We start from the raw sequence: 18,636 nt of genomic DNA, 5'->3' as shown, positions 1-18,636 counted from the left end.
TTAAAAATCATTTCAGAGCTTCCCACTTTCACTCACCCTCTCCCATTTGCTTCTTCAAGTCCTATAAAGTAGGAAGAGCTTATTATCTCCATTTTATAGATAAAGAATCAAGGCTCAGTGATTCAGAAAGTCTCACAATACCGACCAGGTGGCTCAAATCTGTAATCCCAGCACTTTGGGAAGCGGAGGCAGGCAGATCATTTGAGGTCAGGAATTCAAGACCAGCCTGGCCAACATGGTGAAATCCTGTCTTCATTAAAAATACAAAAAAATGCACCGGGCGCGGTGACTCATGCCTGTAATCACAGCACTATGGGAGGCCGATGTAGGTGAATCACCTGAGGTCAGGAGTTCAAGACCAGCCTGACCAACATGGAGAAACCCTGTCTCTACTAAAAATACAAAAATTTGCTGGGTGTGGTGGCGAATGCCTGTAATCCCAGCTACCTGGGAGGCTGAGGCAGGAGAATCACTTGAACCTGGGTGGTGGAGGTTGCAGTGAGCCAAGATCACACCACTGCACTCCAGCATGGACAACAAGAGCAAAACTCTGTCTCAAAAAAAATACAAAAAATTAGCCAGGTGTGGTGGCATGCGCCTGTAGTCCCAGCTGCTGGAGAGGCTGAGGCAGGAGAATCGCTTGAACCCGGGAGGCAGAGATTGCAGTGAGCCACTGCACTCCAGCCTGGGCGACAGGGCGAGACTCCATCTCAAAAAAAAAAAAAGTCTCACAATACATAGTGTCATTTAAGTCAATAAACAGCCCTTCTAACTCCCAGTAAAACGGCTGTTTTACTATTAGTAATATTTATTTTACTTAAAAAGTAAATACCTGTCTTCATAGTGGCAAAACACTACAAGGAATATGATGTATCAATAGGTGAACAGTTAGTAAAAAGATGAGGAGTCGGCCGGGCTCGATGGCTTACGCCTGTAATCCCAGCACTATGGCTCATGCCTGTAATCCCAGCACTTTGGGAGGCTGAGATGGACAGATCACGAGGTCGGGAGTTCGAGACCATCCTGGCCAATGTGGTAAAACTCCGTCTCTACTAAAAATACAAAAATTAGCCAGGTGTGGTGGCAGGCACCTGTAATCCCAGGTGGCTGGGAGGCTGAGGCAGGAGAATTGCTTGAACCCAGGAGGCAGAGCTTACAGTGAGCGTCGCGCCACTGCACTCCAGCTTGGGTGACAGAGAAAGACTCCATCTTGGGGGGAAAAAAAACAATGAAGAGTCAGAGATGTGACACGGGACAATAGATAGCAAGAAGAAGAGAAGCAGGACATGCTAAATCAACAAAGATTTAATTTCTAAAGATTGGTGTGTGGTTTTTGCTGCTGTTCAGAATAGTTTCTTGAGCTGCTACACAAACATGGCCAGGCTATCCTTTGATATGTGTGTTTCGTATATCAGTGAAGCAGAGAAGCACAGGAGAGATGGGAAACTGACAAGAAGCAAAAGGAAAGAAGGGGCCTCCCTACTCTGCTCAGGGAGGCCCCTAGAAGTAAGAGGAGGACATGAGGCGCCAAACAAGCATGGGGTGAAAGGAAACAAGAGGTGAGAGGCCCAATGAGATGGAAAAAGTAAGTATTAAAGATGACTGGGCTTGGAACAAGATGAGGGTAAAAGTCAGAAGTCAGAGGCGACAAATAGATAAAAGGCAGATAAAAAGTGAGAAGAGAGGAGATAAAGGGCAGCTCGGGCAACTTCCAGTCAGAGATAGCAGAATGAGTGCACAGCCTCTGTTCTTTCTCATACCTCACTGAATGAGTAGGGAGGAAAACATAAGCATTAACCATAAGGACAAAAAAGAACCAAAGTGATAGCAGCGACAAAATTTGAAATTTGGAAAGCAGGTAGATAAGCAATACATGTCTCAGCAGAGCCAAGAAAGCTGAATCCTAAGTGGCAAACACAGGGTAGGGATGGGAAGGTGGTGAAGAGACTTACACTATGAAAATACATAGGAAGGGGAGAACCAATTCCCTCTGGAAATGGTGGCAAAACGTTATAAACAGGAAGATAAGAAAAGACTCCTAGATCCTCTCTCCTCTTCCAGGAAGCCAAGAGAATGAATGTCTTTTCCTCACCCTACAGAAGACTGCAGTTATTTTCTAGAAGGGCAAACAGAGGGTCTCTAGAATGGGGGACACTAGGAAGAGTTGAGGGCAAGAATATTATATTCCAAAAAAGAGATAAAAAATGGGATATGTCAGCCAGGCGCGGTGGCTCACGCCTATAATCCCAGCACTTTGGGAAGTTGAGGCAGGCAGATCATGAGGTCAGGAGACAAGAGACCATCCTGGCCAACACGGTGAAACCCCCATCTCTACTAAAATACAAAAAATTAGGCAGGCGTGGTGGCGCGCGCCTTTAGTTCCAACTACTCGGGAGCCTGAGGCAGGGGAATCACTTGAACCTGGGAGGCAGAGGTTGCAGTGAGTCGAGATGGCGCCACTGCATTTCAGCCTGGTGAGACAGCAAGACTCCATCTCAAAAGAAAAAAAAAGGGGCGGGGGGGGAGCGGCGAGATGTCTTTCAGAGATGCACTCAACCAAAGTGAAGAAGTAAGCTCAAAAAGGTAAAGACACGAGACACAGAATATACAGGATGCAATACACAAAGCAAAGGAAATCCCTAAGAAACTAGAGACGGCTGATCCATTCTACCGCCATGCCACGCACCCAGTGACCAATCCATCTAAGCCAAGGCATTTCAGAAGATTCCAGGAACAACCTATTCAAGGTGAAACTGACAGAATACCTGATATGAGCGATCATATAGAGGCAGATTCATGCAACTAAGAGTATAGAGACATATCAATGACAAATACATAGAAAATAAGCAAATAAAACATCTTGCAATTACAGAGAAAACAAAATCTAAGCAGAAAAGAAAAAAATAAAAGTATACCACATGATTTAGCTATCAACAGCATTTACATAGTCATAACTTAAGTATTAAATATCAATCTAATATTTAATCAAAATTATGCTATAACTATATGGAGGGAAAAGTGGTATGGAAGCATGGGTGGGTAGCTAAGGTGGGAAGCCAGTATATGATGCAAAAGTACTGAAAATTAAGAAGAAATGTATGCATGTTGCTTAAAGATATGAGGGTAAAACCAAAAAGAATCAGTTAAGGAAGTAAAAGAGGTTATCTTTGGGGAAGAGAAAATTGGGTAGAAGAGGTAAGCAGAAGAGCTATCTGTTGTGACGACTTATAAAATTACTTGCCTCTTTCAAATACGTGTGTGTAAAACTTTAATAGAAATAAAATTCTATTAAATAAAATTTCAGTAAAAAATTAAGAAAAAAGGAAAACAGCCCAAGCGCACAGGCTGACACCTGCAATCCCAACACTTTGGGAGGTCAAAGTGGAAGGATCAAATGAGCCCAGGAGTTCAAGACCAGCCAGGGCAACATAACAAGACCTCATCTCCACAAAAAATTTAAAAAATTAGCTGGGCATGAAGGCACATGCTGTAGTCCTAGCTACTTGAGAGGCTAAGGTGAAAGGATCACCTGAGCCCAGGAGATCGAGGCTGCAGTGAGCTGTGATCATAACACTGCACTCCAGCCTGGGTGACAGAGTGAGAACCTGTCTCAGAACGAAACAAAAGAATAAAGGAAAAACACAAATGAACCAAAAGTCCTCTTTTAGGGAGACTAAACAATACTTTATATTGGCCGTCAGAATCACATTCCTGTTTAGACAAAACTGTTAGTGCCTCCAGATGCTTAATTCAGTCGTACCTTATAACACCTGGCAATATTCCTTAAACTGACCTGCAACATACAGGCTGTCTCTTGTTACATTCAGGATTGCTTAATGCCTTTATTCAATAAATGAATACAGGGTGCCTGTGCTAAGTGCCAGGCACTGCGCTAGGTACTGGGATACAACAGTCAGCAAAACAAACACAATCTGTCGTTCATGGTACTTCAACATACTGGGAGAGATATTCAAATGATCACACAAAACAACATGACAATTTTAATAACAGCTTACATGAAAGGGTGCCAAGACCACTCAATGGGGAAAAGGCAGTCTCTTCAACAAATGGTTCTGGGAAAACTGGACATCCACATGCAGAAGAATGAAGATGTACCTTTATCTGACACCATATAGAAAACTAACTCAGGCCGGGTGCAGTGGCTCACACCTGTAATCCCAGCACTTTGGGAGGCCGAGGTGGGCAGATCACCTGAGGTCAGGAGTTCAAGACCAGCCTGGCCAATATGCCAAAACCCCGTCTCTAATAAGAATGCAAAAATTAGCCGGGCATGGTGGCGCACACCTGTAGTCCCAGCTACTCGGGAGGCTGAGGCAGGAGAATGGCTTGAACCTGGGAGGCAGACGTTGCAGTGAGCCAAGATTGCACCACTGAAGACTCTGGGAAAAAATAAATAAATAAATAAAATAACTCAAAATAGATTAAAGACCTAAACATAAGAAGTTTATTTTAAAAAATTTAAAAAACGTTTAAAAAAGAACTTTAAACTCCTAGAAGAAAACATGGAAGAAAAGCTTAATAATACTGGATTTGGCAAGAATTTCTTGGATATGACGCCAAAAGGAAAGGAAACAAAAGCAAAATAAGATAAATGGGACTATATCAAACTTAAGAATTTTTGTGCATCCAAAGACACAATCAACAGAGAGAAAAGTTAACTTACAGAATGAGACAAAATATTTCCAAATAACGTATCTGATAAAGGGTTAATATCCAGAATATAAAAAGAACACCTTTGGGAGGCCGAGGCGGGTGGATCACGAAGTCAGGAGATCGAGACCATCCTGGCTAACACAGTGAAACCCCGTCTCTACTAAAAATACAAAAAATTAGCCGGGCGTGGTGGCGGGCGCCTATAGTCCCAGCTACTCGGGAGGCTGAGGCAGGAGAATGGCATGAACCCGGGAGGGGAGCTTGCAGTGAGCAGAGATTACGCCATTGCACTCCAGCCTGGGCGACAGAGTGAGACTCCGTCTCAAAAAAAAAAAAAAAGAACTCCTATAACTCAACAACAACAACAAAAAACCCAATTAAAAAACGGGCAAAGGATCTGAACAGACCTTTCTGCTAAGATGGCCAATGAGCATATGAAAAGATGCTCAACATCATTCATCATCAGAGAAATGCAAATCAAAACCACAATGAGACATCGCCTCACACCATTAGGATATCTATTTTAAAAAACAACAAGTAATAACAAGTGTTGGTGAGGATGTGGAGAGCCCTTGTGCATGCTGGTGGGATTGTAAAATGGTGCAGCCACTATAAAAAACAGTAGGGAACTTCCTCAAAAAATTAAAAATAGAGCTACCATATTATCCAACAATGCTACTTCTGGGTATACATCCAAAAGAACTGAAAGGGTCTTGAGGAAATATCTGCATACCCACATTTATAGTAGTACTATTCCAATCATCATGTGGCTGAAGCAACTTAAATGTCCATCTACAGATGAATAAACAAAATATGAAACATACATACAATGGAACATTATTCAGCTTTAAAAAGGAAGGACATTGGGCCAGGTATGGTGGCTCATGCATGTAATCCCAAGACTTTGGGAGGCCAAGGCGGGCAGATCACGTGAGCTCAGGAGTTCAAGACCAGCTGGGGCGACATGGCAAAACCTTATCTCCCCAAAATATTCAAAAACTAGCTGGGCGTGGTGGCATGTACCTGTAGTCCCAGCTACCTGTGAGGGTGAGGTTGGAGGATGGCTTGAGCCTGGGAGGCACAGGCTGCAGTGCACCGAGATCATGCTACTGCACGCCAGCCCGGGAAACAAAGTGAGACTCTGTCTCAAAATACACACATACACACACACACACAGATTTTTTTCTGAGATGGAGTCTCGCTCTGTTGCCCAGGGTGGAGTGCAGTGGCTTGATCTTGGCTCACTGCAACCTCTGCCTCCCAGGTTCAAGCGATCCTCCTGCCTCAGCCCGCCAGTAGCTGGGATTACCAGCACGTGCCACTATGCCTGGCTAATTTTTGTATTTTTAGTAGAGATGGGGTTTCGCCATGTTGGCCAGGCTGGTCTCAAACTCCTGACCTCAGGTGATCTACCCTCATCAGCCTCCCAAAGTGCTGGGACTACAGACATGAGCCACCACGCCCGGCCTCAAATCTGGTCTTTAAAATACTTCATGTTCTTTCTTTCTTTTTTTTCTTAAAGACAGGGTCTCACTCTGATTGCCCAGGCTGGAGTGCAGTTGTGCAATTTCAGCACACTGCAGCCCTGACCTCCCCAGGCTCAGGTGATTCTTCCACCTCAGCCTCTCAAATAGCTGGGGGTACTACAGGCAAAGACAGGGTTTTGCCATGTTGCCCAGGCTGGTCTTGAACTCCTGGACTCAAGCAATTCACCCACCTCGGCCTCCCAAAGTGCTGGGATTATAAACGTGAGCCACTGTGTCGGACCATCTTTCTGGAAATACTACTGATAAACCTTAAATCTGTAGCTGAATGGAATTCCTAGAAGAACAACATGTTACTAGCTTTAAGATTTATGTCCGCAGTATCTGCCACTGGGCTACAGTAGTATTTACTAACTGCAGAGAAGCGGGCTGCCTCTGGAGTAACAGCCTCCACAAGCACTGACTAAGAAACCACTCCCTTCCCACTGAAGCAACACTGTTTCGAATCTGGTTCTACCAGGCCTATTCGTTTCCTTCTGTTTAAGATAATTTTCAATAGAGTAAAATGAATCATGAGGGATGGAAAAGTCTGTTAGGTTATCTAGACCATTCCCCTCAGGACCCTAGAACATGGAAAACTTTTATAGAGCTATTAATAAACTAATGGTTATGAATATCTTAGAGTCTAATCGTTCTTTTAGACTGGGTGCCTCTCAAACATTCATAGTTAGATTCTGAGTACTTCAATTTCTCAATTCAGTTGTGAATGTCCTAGCCTCATGAAAAAGATGAATGAAAAAAAAAATCAATGAAGAAACTGGCCAATAAAATGCAGGAAGCTTCAATTTTCAAAATTCCAGCTGGCCCCACGAGTACACTGTTAGTAAGCCCTGAATTTAAAACCCAAGAAATCACATGGAAATTTTAAAAACTTAACGTTATCCATTACATACAAAACTAATCAGGTCCAAAAAGCAAAATTCACAGTTTCTAGGCGTTTCATTTTCCTTCACTGGACAAGGCACTAACACAGGGCAAAATGGCTGCCATCCCGCTGGTTAAAGCAGGAATACTCAAGGCTCAGATTTAACTTGCAAACCCCAGAGCTCCTAGAAAATCAAAAAGTGCCAATAACACAGAAGAGAGGGTTAAGAAAATTTCCAAATTTCATACAACTAGGTACCTTGATTGTTAAATTTGGAATAGGACTTTTCCTTAGTTATATAAGGAACTTAAATCTCTATCTAAAAAAGAAAAAAACAAAAAATTTAACAGAATGAAACATAATTTTGTGCACACAGACTTAAGCTATCTATTTATAAGTGGCCATGATAAAATGAAGTTAAACAGGCTACCAATGTCATATTAAACAAAAAATGCAGAAATCATGAACAACCACATGGCTTTTTTTTTTTTTTTTTTTTTTTTAAGATGGAGTCTTGCTCTTTCACCAGGCTGGAGTGCAGTGGCACTATCTCAGCTCACTGCAACCTCTGCCTCCCAGGTTCAAGTGATTTTCCTGCCTCAGCCTCCCAAGTAGCTGGGACTATAGGCACACGCCACCACACCTGGCTAATTTTTATTATTATTTTTTTTGAGACAAGAGTCTTGCTCTGTCACCCAGCTGGAGTGCAGTGGCGCGGTCTCAGCTCACTGCAAGCTCCACCTCCCAGGTTCACGCCATTCTCCTGCCTCAGCCTCCCGTGTAGCTGGGACTACAGGCACCCGCCACCATGCCGGGCTTATTTTTCGTATTTTTAGTAGAGACAGGGTTTCACCGTGTTAGTCAGGATGGTCTCAATCTCTAATTTTTGTATTTTTAGTAGAGACGGGGTTTCACCATATTGGCCAGGATGGTCTTGATCTCTTGACCTTGTGATCCACCCACCTCGGCCTCCCAAAGTGCTGGGATTACAGGCATGAGCCACCGCGCCCAGCCCTTTTTTTTTTTTTTTAAACCAGCCCCCACTTTCGTCCCTGACTCTTGCTCAATAGAAGAATTCCAATTTGTAGTCCAAAACCGAAGCAGCTGTACTCAAAGTTTCACTACTCCGGAATAGTTTCCTCACTTAGTTTCAAAGGTCACATAGGTGGCTAATTACATAAAATTTAAACTTTAACTCGGGGTTATGAATAAGCTGTAACCTGTGTGAAGGAAACCTGAACACACATTACTGCAACACTAGAAAACTGCACATTTTCTGAACAAATCCTGTCACTTCTTAAAGAATTTAAGAACTGTACCTTGTGATGTGCAGAAAAACACCTCTTAGTATCTTACACTTTAAAAGTGCAGGCCAAGGCCAGGAGCAGTGGCTCATGCCTGTAATCCCAGAACTTTGGGAGGCCAAGGCGGGGAATTACCTGAGGTCAGGAGTTCAAGACCAGCCTGGCCAACATGCCGAAACCCCATCTCTACTAAAAATATAAAAATTAGCCAGTCGCAATGGCAGGTACCTGTAGTCCCAGCTACTTGGGAGGCTGAGGCAGGAGAATCCCTTGAACCCGGGAGGCAGAGGTTGCAGTGAGCCGAGACCGTGCCATTGCACTCCAGCCTGGGCAACAGAGCAAGACTCAGTCTCAAAAAACAAAAAAATTAATTAAAAAATAAATAAATAAAATAAAAATGTATGCCAATACCATGCATTCTGTAGCTTAATTGAATGTCAGACTGCAGTTACTCTGTATTTTGTGTGTCTGTGTATATATACACATATACACAACATACATGAGTATGCATACAAATACAAACATTTTTAAAGGACATCGTTGTTAAAAGTTAAAGTAGCTAGCTGGATCCTTATCTCCCTTTTCCTGCTCTCCATTAATTTTTAGTTTTTTCTTAAGATCATTTTATTTGAAAAATATCAGAAAAGCATACACAAAAAAAGTATCACTCATAATTATCACTTTTTTTGGAAGTATACCTAATAAGAAGTAAAAGTTCCTTACTCTAACCCCTCTAAACCCAATTCTAGATGAAATTGCCACTAAAATCAATGCGTTTTTCCTATGTATAAAAATATATACACATTTTATTTATTTTTATTCTTTAAAAGGCAGGGTCTTGCTCTGTTTGCCCAGGCTGGAGTGCAGGAGTGCTGTCCTAGCCCACAGCAGCCTTGGACTACTAGGCTCAAACAATCCTCCCATTGCAGCCTCCCAAGTAGCTAGAACTACAGGCATGCACAACCATCCCTGGCTAATTTTTGTATTTTTTGTAAAGATGGGGTCTCACTACATTGCCCAAGTTGGTCTCGAACTCCTGTCCTCAAGCAATCCTCCTGCCTCAGCCTTCCAAAGTGCTAAGATTACAGGCATGAGCCACTATACCCAGCTCACACCCTTTTTAAAAAAAGAAATGAAATCATGCTATACATAGTGTCACAGCCTATTTTCACTTAATATATTACAGATATTTTTTAGCTCAGTACATTTATAGCTCTAGCTCTTTTAGTAGACTTATTTTTTTTAGCAGTTTTAGGTTCACAGCAAAATTGAACAGAAGGTACAGAGATTTCTCTCATACACTCTGCCCCCACACACTCTAGCTCACTTTTTTAACGGAAGAATAGTAAGAATAAATCATAATTTCACTATTTTTCTATTGACAAGTGTTTAAGTTGTTTCCATCTTTTGTTCTTACAAATAATACTTCGATTAATATCTCTCTACATATGTTTTTACCATTCATCCTATTGAGGGACAGATTCCTAGACATATAATGTTGGGTGCCAGGTTACACAAAATTAACCCTGCTTTGAGTTACTGTTAAATTAGCTTCTAAAAAAAGATGGTATCAATGAATATTTCCACTAAGTATTTTTAAATTACTCTAGTGTTGTACAGTCATCATTCAATTACTTCCCAGAAATATTTCACTGTTTTAAGCCAAACTTTAATTTGTATTACCAACTGAATCAATAATCAATCATCAAAGTTAAACATACAAGTTTATTGCCTCTATATAAAGGGCCCCTGTCCAGTAGAAAACGAAATTCATTGTTTAGAAAGTGATGTTTTCACTGAAGCCAAGGAAAGAAAGGATTTCACCAAAGTTGGTGGTTAATAGTACCACGAAGGTCAAAAAAGAAGGGAGTAAAAATAAGGAGGTAAGGTGAACCGAACCTCCGAGTAAGCAGTTTCAGAAAAGTAGTAAATACAGCCAAATAGAGTGGTATATTTTTTAATTGTTTTGTATTATAGGTAATGTGTTTCTAAATTATTTATACATAAAACCAGTTATAACTTGACAAGAGATGTCTCATTTATTTTTCTTTCTTTACTGCCTCCTACATTGGCCCTGAAAAGTGAAACATGGGGCTGTGATAAGTTCATAATACGTTTTAAAAATATTCCTATTTAAGAACAGCCCACTCCCTCCTCGTCCCTCCTCTCCCATACAAAAAAAAGGGACAGAACTAACATTTACTGGGCACCTATTATCTATCTGCAAGGCAATCAGGAAATACTTTGCATGCATTAATGTATTTAATCCTAGCAAGAATGTGACCTCCTATTTTCCAGATAAGGACATTGAGAGGCCCAGAGAACAAAATAACTTGCCCAAAAATAAGTGCTAGAAAATCTACATTGGTCTGGTTCTTCACTCTGCTTCACTTACAGAAGGTAAATATGTGGAACATATGTCACCCCTGCAACAATTACTATTCAGTGACAGGACTTCTGAATCACTGATCTCAGGCATGGCCTCAGAATTCTTCACAACTCATGTAACAAACATTTACATGTACCCCCTGAACCTAAAATAAAAGTTGAAATTTTTTTAAAAAAGAATTTTTCACAACACGGAACTCCCACCAACAGGGGAGGAATAAGCATCTAAAACTATATGCTGTACCTGAAGTAAACCATGCCGCCTCTCACTTGATACTAGTTAACGATATTTCTGAACAGCAGGACCAACTTTTGCTATACTTATGCATATTTGCACATGTGTGCATATACAATAAGCTGTCTCCATCTTATGTGAAGAAGGAAGTACATCTGGTTGGCAGGGATTAGAATAAGATAATACAATCAGTGCAGAATGGAAACAAAGTTGACAGGCACTGCCACCTGCTATATTCAGTTGTACTCATTTCCACAGAAAGAACTGTAAAATGAAGAGAAGGAATTCTGCTTTTATTTCTACCATGCTATACACAAGTCCTCAATAAATCTTATTTTAGGCCGGGCACAGTGACTCACAGCTATAATCCCACACTTTGAGAGGCCGAGGCGGGTGGATCACTTGAGGTCAGGAGTTCAAGACCAGCTGGCCAACATGGTGAAACCCCGCCTCTACTAAAAATACAAAAAACTAGCTGGGCACGGTGGCACACGCCTGTAATCTCAGCTACTTGGGAGTCAGAGGCAGGAGAATCACTAGAACCCAGGAGGCAGAGGTTGCAGTGAGCCCAGATAGCGTTATGAAAAAAAAAAAAAAAAGTCTGCCTCCAAAAAATAAAAGTTACAGGTGTGAGTAACCATGCCTGGCCCAAAATGTTATCTTCAGCAGAGGAGCTCAAGACCAGCCTGGCCAACATGGCAAGACACTATCTGTAAAAAAATTTTTTTTAATTAGCCAGGCATGGTGGCACATGCCTGTAGTCCCAGCTACTCGGGAGGCTGGGGTGAGATGATCACTTGAGCTCAAGAAGTCAAGGCTGTAGTGAGCTGTGATGGCGCCACTGCACTCTAGGCTGGGTGACAGAACGGAGGGGAGGGGGAGGGAGGGGAGAGGAGGGGAGAGGAAGGAAAGGAAGAAAGAAAGAAGGAGGGAGGGAGGGAGGGATGAAGGGAGGAAGGGAGGAAGAGAGCAAGCAAGCAAGTATTGGTAAGTACAGGAAGAAATGGAACTCTCATACGTTGCCAAAAGGTCTGTAAATCGGTATAAACACTTTGGAAAACTGGTAATACCACTGAAGCTGAACATTCGCATACCCTAAGACCAAGCAATTCCACTACTAGTAATTTTATCTAAAATATGGGCACCACAAAACATATACAAAACATTCGCAAAAGCCAAAACTGGAAACAAACCAAATGCTCACCAACAATAGAATAAATGAATGTGGTACAGTCATACAAGCTGGTCTTGAACTCCTGGGCTCAAGTGATTCTCCCATCTTGGCCTCCCAAAGTGCTAGTATTACAGTCATAAGAAACCACACCTGGTACTACTCCAGCTTTTAAGAAAGTTATTCAGCCAGGCGCGGTGGCTCACGCCTGTAATCCCAGCACTTTGGGAGGCCAAGGCGGGCAGATCATGAGGTCAGGAGTTCGAGATCAGCCTGGCTAACACAGTGGAACCCCTTCTCTACTAAAAATACAAAAAATTAGCCGGGCGTGGTGGCACGCACCTGTAGTCCCAACTACTCAGGAGGCTGAGGCAGGAGAATTGCTTGAACCTGGGAAGTGGAGGTTGCAGTGAACTGAGATCACGCCATTGCACTCCAGCCTGGGTGACAGACTCCGTCTCAAAAAAAAAAAAAAAAAGAAAAAGAAAGTTATCTGAGGCCAGGTGCAGTGGCTCACGCCTGTAATCCCAGCACTTTGGGAGACCAAGACAGGTGAATCACAAGGTCAGGAGTTTGAGACCAGCCTGGCCAACATGGTGAAACCCCGTCTGTACTAAAAATACAAAAAATTAGCTGGGCGTAGTGGCAGGCACCTGCAATCCCAGCTATTTGGGTGGCTGACGCGGGAGAATCGCTTGAACCCAGGTGGCGGAGGTTGCAGTGAGCTGAGACCGTGCTACTGCACTCCAGCCCTAGTGACGGAATATCTGAATAGAAAAGTGACTGGAAGGGAATTTACTTAAATACCATTAGTGTTTACACTTGGGTGTTAGGATTAAGGAAATATTCATTTTCTTCTTTAATTTCCTTTTTTTTTTTTGAGATGGAGTCTCACTCTGTCACCAGGCTGGAGTGGCAGTGGCATGATCTCACTGCAATCTCTGCCTCCCAGGTTCAAGCGATTCCCCTGCCTCAGCCTCCTGAGCAACTGGGACTACAGGCGCGAACCACCACGCCTGGCTAATTTTTTGTATTTTAGTAGAGACGAGGTTTCACCATGTTGGCCAGGATGGTCTCGATGTCCTGACCTCGTGGTCTGCCAGCCTCCTCCTCCCAAAGCGCTGGAATTACAAGCGTGAGCCACCATGCCCAGCCTCCTTTTTTTTTTTTTTTTTTTTAAAGGCTGAGTCTCACTCTGTCGCCCAGACTGGAGTTCATTGGCACTACCTCAGCTCACTGCAACCTCTGCCTCCCAGGCTCAAGTGATTCTCCTGCCTCAGCCTCCTGAGTAGCTGGGACTACAGGCGTGTGCCACTATGCCCAGCTAATGTTTGTATTATTAGTAGAGACAGGGTTTCATCCACATTGGCCAGGCTGGTCTCGAACTCCTGGACTCAAGTGATCCTCCCACCTCAGCCTCCCAAAGTGCTGGGATTACAAGTGTGAGACACCATGACCGGCCCAACATGTGCTATTTTTATAATGAGGGAAAAGCTATTTTTGAAACATTAATAGGCTGAGAGCGGTGGCTCATGCTTGTAATCCCAGCACTTTGGGAGGCCGAGGCTGGCGGATCACCTGAGGTCAGGAGTTCGAGAACAGCCTGGCCAACATGACGAAACCCCTTCTCTACCAAAAATACAAAAATTAGCTGGCGTGATGGCGGGTGGCTGTAACCCCAGCTACTTGAGAGGCTGAGGCAGGAGAATTGCTTGAACCTGGGGAGCGGAAGTTGCGGTGAGCCAAGATTGCGCCACTGCACTCCAGCCTAGGTGACAGCGAGACTCTGTCTCAAAAATAAATAAAAAAGGGGGAAAAAAAAAAACTTTAACAGCTTGGCATAAGACATTGAAATTGTCTCTTAACCTTAATTAATTTACCCATGACTCTATCTTGGTGGAGGATGTATATGTAGCATTGACACCTCTGGGACAGGCACGGTGGCTCACGCCTATAATCCCATCACTTTGGGAAGCTGAGGTGAGTGAATCGCTTGAGCCCAGGAGTTTGAGACCAGCCTGGGCAACTTGGTGAAGCCCCATCTCTACAAAAAAAGACCAAAAAAAAATTAGCCAGGCATGGTGGCACACATCTGTAGTCCCAGCTACTTAGGAGGCTGAGGTGGGAGGATAGCTTGAGGTTGGGAAGCAGAGGGTGCAATGAGCCAAGACTGTGCCACTGCACTCCAGCCTGGGCAACACAATGAGACCTTGTCTAAGAAATAAAAAAGAAAAAGAAAAGAAACCTCTGAACAGAATAAACAACACAAGAAACAACTAGAAATTTGTTTTAGTTATTGTGTCATATTCTTTGGCCAAAATGAGAAACAGTTTAATCATAACGAGAAACAGTGTAATCATAAGTCTGATTAAAGCTTTGCAATTGTTCCAGCACCTGTTCAATTTTGCTGATGAACACACATATGACATACTAAAATCCAGACAGGATTTAACAAGTGAGATATATCAAACACAGGCCCTGTTGTTGTCAAGGTTTCTAGGTGTGGTTGCAGCTCAAGTATAATAAGATCATTTACATCTGAGTCAGTCACCCACTCTCCTGTCTGTGTCTCTCCCTCCACATCAGACATGGGCATGAACATAATACTCTATATAGCACAGGTCTGAGTAAAACTGAGATTTCAGGAGAGTGATGACTCAGGAATATCAAATCTTTTCCTTTTATGAGAGAAAATTAAGACAGGAAAAAACTATTACAGAAATATGCATCAACAAAGATGAAAAAAATTTTTGAATACATTTATAAATTCCAAGACAAATGCAGCCTTTTCCCATTCTCTTTATGAGATTTTGAGATTTTCTTTTTTCTTTTTTTTCTTTTTTTTTTTTTTTTTGAGACGGAGTCTCACTCTGTCACCCAGGCTGGAGTGCAGTGGCCCAAATCTCGACTCACTGCAAGCTCTGCCTCCCGGGTTCACGCCATTCTCCTGCCTCAGCCTCCCAAGTAGTATTTTTAGTAGAGATGGGGTTTCACTGTGTTAGCCAGGATGGTCTCCATCCCTGACCTCGTGATCCGCCCACCTCAGCCTCCCAAAGTGCTGGGATTACAGGCGTGAGCCACCGCGCCCGGTCTCTTTTTTTTTTTGAGACAGAGTCTCTGTCACCTAGGCTGGAGTGCAGTGGCGCAATTTCGGCTCACTGCAACCTCCACCTCCCGGGTTCAAGCAATTCTCGTGCCTCAGCCTCCCCAACAGCTGGGACTACAGGCATACGCCATCACGTCTGGCTAATTTTTGTATTTTTAGTGTAGACTGGGTTTTGCCATGTTTGCCAGACTGGTCTCCAATTCCCGGCCTCAAGTGATCCACCCACCTCGGCCTCCCAAAGTGCTGGGATTACAGGCATGAGCCACTGCATCCAGCCTCTTTATGATATTTTCTAGTTTGTCTTAATAGTGTGTGTGTTACTTTCTTTCATATACTATGGGTTAGCAGAAGAAATTAGATTCCAGACAGTTCCAAATCTAGAAAGGTGTCAGACATCTGGCAATCATATATATCCCCAAGTTCACAGAATTTTGGAGGAAATCTAGTCTAAAATTCAAGGGAATATGAAGAGCTACAGTAAGCCACAATACAGGATTAAACATTTTCTATCTCTGTTTCTCTTAGTCTATCTTTCTCTGTTCTCCCAACAGAAGTTGATGGTGACTATGGATTTAAAAAAAAAAAAAAAAAAAGAATGTTCTTTGTCCTTGGATTCCAAAAGTTTTTGATAGGTCTCCTTTATCCTATGTAATGCTGACAAAGGAAATTTGAGTGACTGATATTAGATAAAAAATAAATAAATAAAAGAAGCTTAAAAAGTTACAAACTTCACAGAAACACTACAATTCAAGACTGGAAGAACTTACAAATAGGCTTATTTGATACATATGGCCTTGTCAATGATTCTACAAAATCATTAAGCTTCCAAAAATTGTAATTAACACATGCAAGTTACACTGATTCTTTCTACATTTATTAATGCAAATCTCTCATGTGACCCTTAGCTTTTTCTATATTCTCCAAAGGAAAAGAGTGTTAATGTAAGTTGATTTTTTTAAATTCTAGAATATAAAACTAAGTGCATTGAAGAAACTATGGAAAACACAAAGACGTCTATAAAAGAATTTTTTAATCATAATGTCCTATCCAGAGATTCTGCGCTACCTCATTTGAGACTGCTATATAGGCATCTTAAAATCTATGACTAAAGATGTAAATATATTTTTAATATGAATAACTATATAAAAATGTTCATAGCTGGCTGGGCGCGGTGGCTCACGCCTGTAATCCCAGCACTTTGGGAGGCCGAGGCGGGCGGATCACGAGGTCAGGAGATCGAGACCACGGTGAAACCCCGTCTCTACTAAAAAATACAAAAAATTAGCCGGGCGCCGTGGCGGGCACCTGTAGTCCCAGCTACTCGGTAGGCTGAGGCAGGAGAATGGCGTGAATCCGGGAGGCGGAGCTTGCAGTGAGCCGAGATCGCACCACTGCACTCCAGCCTGGGTGACAGAGCGAGACTCCATCTCAACAAAAAAAAAAAAAAAAGAATTTTTTTAATCATAATGTCCTATCCAGAGATTCTGTTCTACCTCATTTGAGACTGCTATATAGGCATCTGAAAATCTATGACTGAAGATGTAAATATATTTTTAATATTAATAACTATATAAAAATGTTCATAGCTGGCTGGGCACGGTGGCTCACGCCTGTAATCCCAGCACTTTGGGAGGCCAAGGCACGTGGATCACGAGGTCAGGAGTTCAAGATCAGCCTGGCCAAGATGGTGAAACCCCGTCTCTACTAAATATACAAAAAAAATCAGCCTGGTGTGGTGGTGGGCACCTGTAATCCCAGCTACTCGGGAGGCTGAGGCAGAGAATTGCTTAAACCTGGGAGGTGCAGGATGCAATGAGCCGAGATCACGCCACTGCACTCCAGCCTGGGTGATAGAGTGAAACTCCACCTCAAAAAAAAAAAAAAAATGTTCATAGCTATGATATTTGCAATAGCAAAAAAAAAAAAAAAAAAAAAAAAAAAAACACAGAAACAACTAAACTACCTGCCAGCTGGTGAATGGATTAATAAATTGAGATGGATTCATGTAATGGGATGCCATAGAAGCTGGGGGAATAAAGAACTACAGTAACTTGCATCAGCAAGAATGAATCTCATAATGCAGAAAAGACAAATCAGAAGAATTCATACAGCATGATTCCACTCATAGAAAATTCATAGAAAAGCTTGTAAAACTAAATAATATATTATTTAGGATTATACAAACTACAAAGCAAAACTAGAGAATTAACAAAATTCAGGATGACAGTTACATCTAAGGGTGAGAGAAAAGTAATAGAAGAGGCCCACGGGGCCTTCAGAGGTGTTTTAAGCTTTTAGTTCTCAAACTAGATCATGGATCTACCAGTGTTCAATCTATTATTCTTCTTTAATCTGTGGATACTTTTTTTTTTTTTTTTGAGACAGAGTATTTCACTCTTGTTGCCCAGGCTGGAGCGCAATGGCATGATCTTGGCTCACTGCAACCTCCGCCTCTCAGGCTCAAGCGATTCTCCTGCCTGTCTCCTGAGTAGCTGGGATTACAGGCGCCTGCCACTACGCTCAGCTAATTTTTGTATTTTTAGTAGAGACGGGGTTTCACCATGTTGGCCAGGCTGGTTTCAAACTCCTGACCTCAGGTGATCCACCCGCCTAGGTTTCTCAAAAGTGCTGGTATTACACCACACCCGGCCTGTGCATACACTTTATATATATTCTTTTGTATGTAATATTCCATAAGAGATAGTGCCACTGCACTCCAGCCTAGGCGACAGAGCAAGACTCTGTCAAAAAAAAAAAAAAGAAAAAAGAAAAGAGCGAGCTACCTAGAGCCAAACGGGATGAAAGAGAAAAGACACATGCCTAGACACATCCTAATGAAATTTCAGAACTCCAAAGACAAAAAGCAAACCCTAAAAGCTTCCGAAGTATTCAAGTGGGCTACATTCAAATGACAATCAAATGAGACAAAGACGTTTTTGAAAGGCAAGAACTTAAAGCTCAACACGCATGCATCCCATATTAAAAACAGTAACTATTCCAAGTTTTTAAAAAATACAAGAAAAATGACAATTTAAAGTATAAGAAACAACAGCAGTTGAGTAAGACCTAAAAGGAGCATAGAAAGCTGGAAAGAAATTGAAAGAGGATTCACTAGATCTTGATGATTGGGCCATTCTCTTTGAAGCAGTTTGGTAATAAAATACTATGTTTGCTTTTCCCAGTATTCAACAGCACCTCTAGATTCCAAAGTAAATAATATTTACTTAATAATATTGCAAAAACTGTATGTGTGGAATATGTTTAGGCTTAATTTGTACATACAGAGTGAAGACTAATTTTTGTTATACAAAAGAGAATATAAACATTATTTACTTTGATAACAGAAAAA

The 18,636-nt window shown here is 42.1% G+C and overlaps 1 protein-coding gene across 1 annotated transcript in view, besides 1 other annotated feature; it reads right to left on the bottom strand.

Annotated features, from left to right (window-relative positions):
- The window catches only part of DIP2B (disco interacting protein 2 homolog B), a 243,673-nt gene that overhangs the window by 191,374 nt on the left and 33,663 nt on the right, over positions 1-18,636 (bottom strand). The window lies entirely within an intron of this gene.
- Positions 6,464-6,758: a silencer, noted in NCBI's record as "tiled region #12282; K562 Repressive DNase matched - State 5:Enh". NCBI's record gives its function as "represses a minimal TATA promoter and a strong SV40 promoter by Sharpr-MPRA in K562 cells {active_cell/tissue: K562}" and the evidence as "EXISTENCE:reporter gene assay evidence [ECO:0000049][PMID:27701403]".

Source organism: Homo sapiens, chromosome 12 (assembly GCF_000001405.40).
Source record: "Homo sapiens chromosome 12, GRCh38.p14 Primary Assembly".
NCBI lineage: Eukaryota > Metazoa > Chordata > Mammalia > Primates > Hominidae > Homo > Homo sapiens.
The sequence above is the reverse complement of the archived record's forward strand: the minus strand, read 5'-3'. Positions and strand labels throughout refer to the sequence as shown.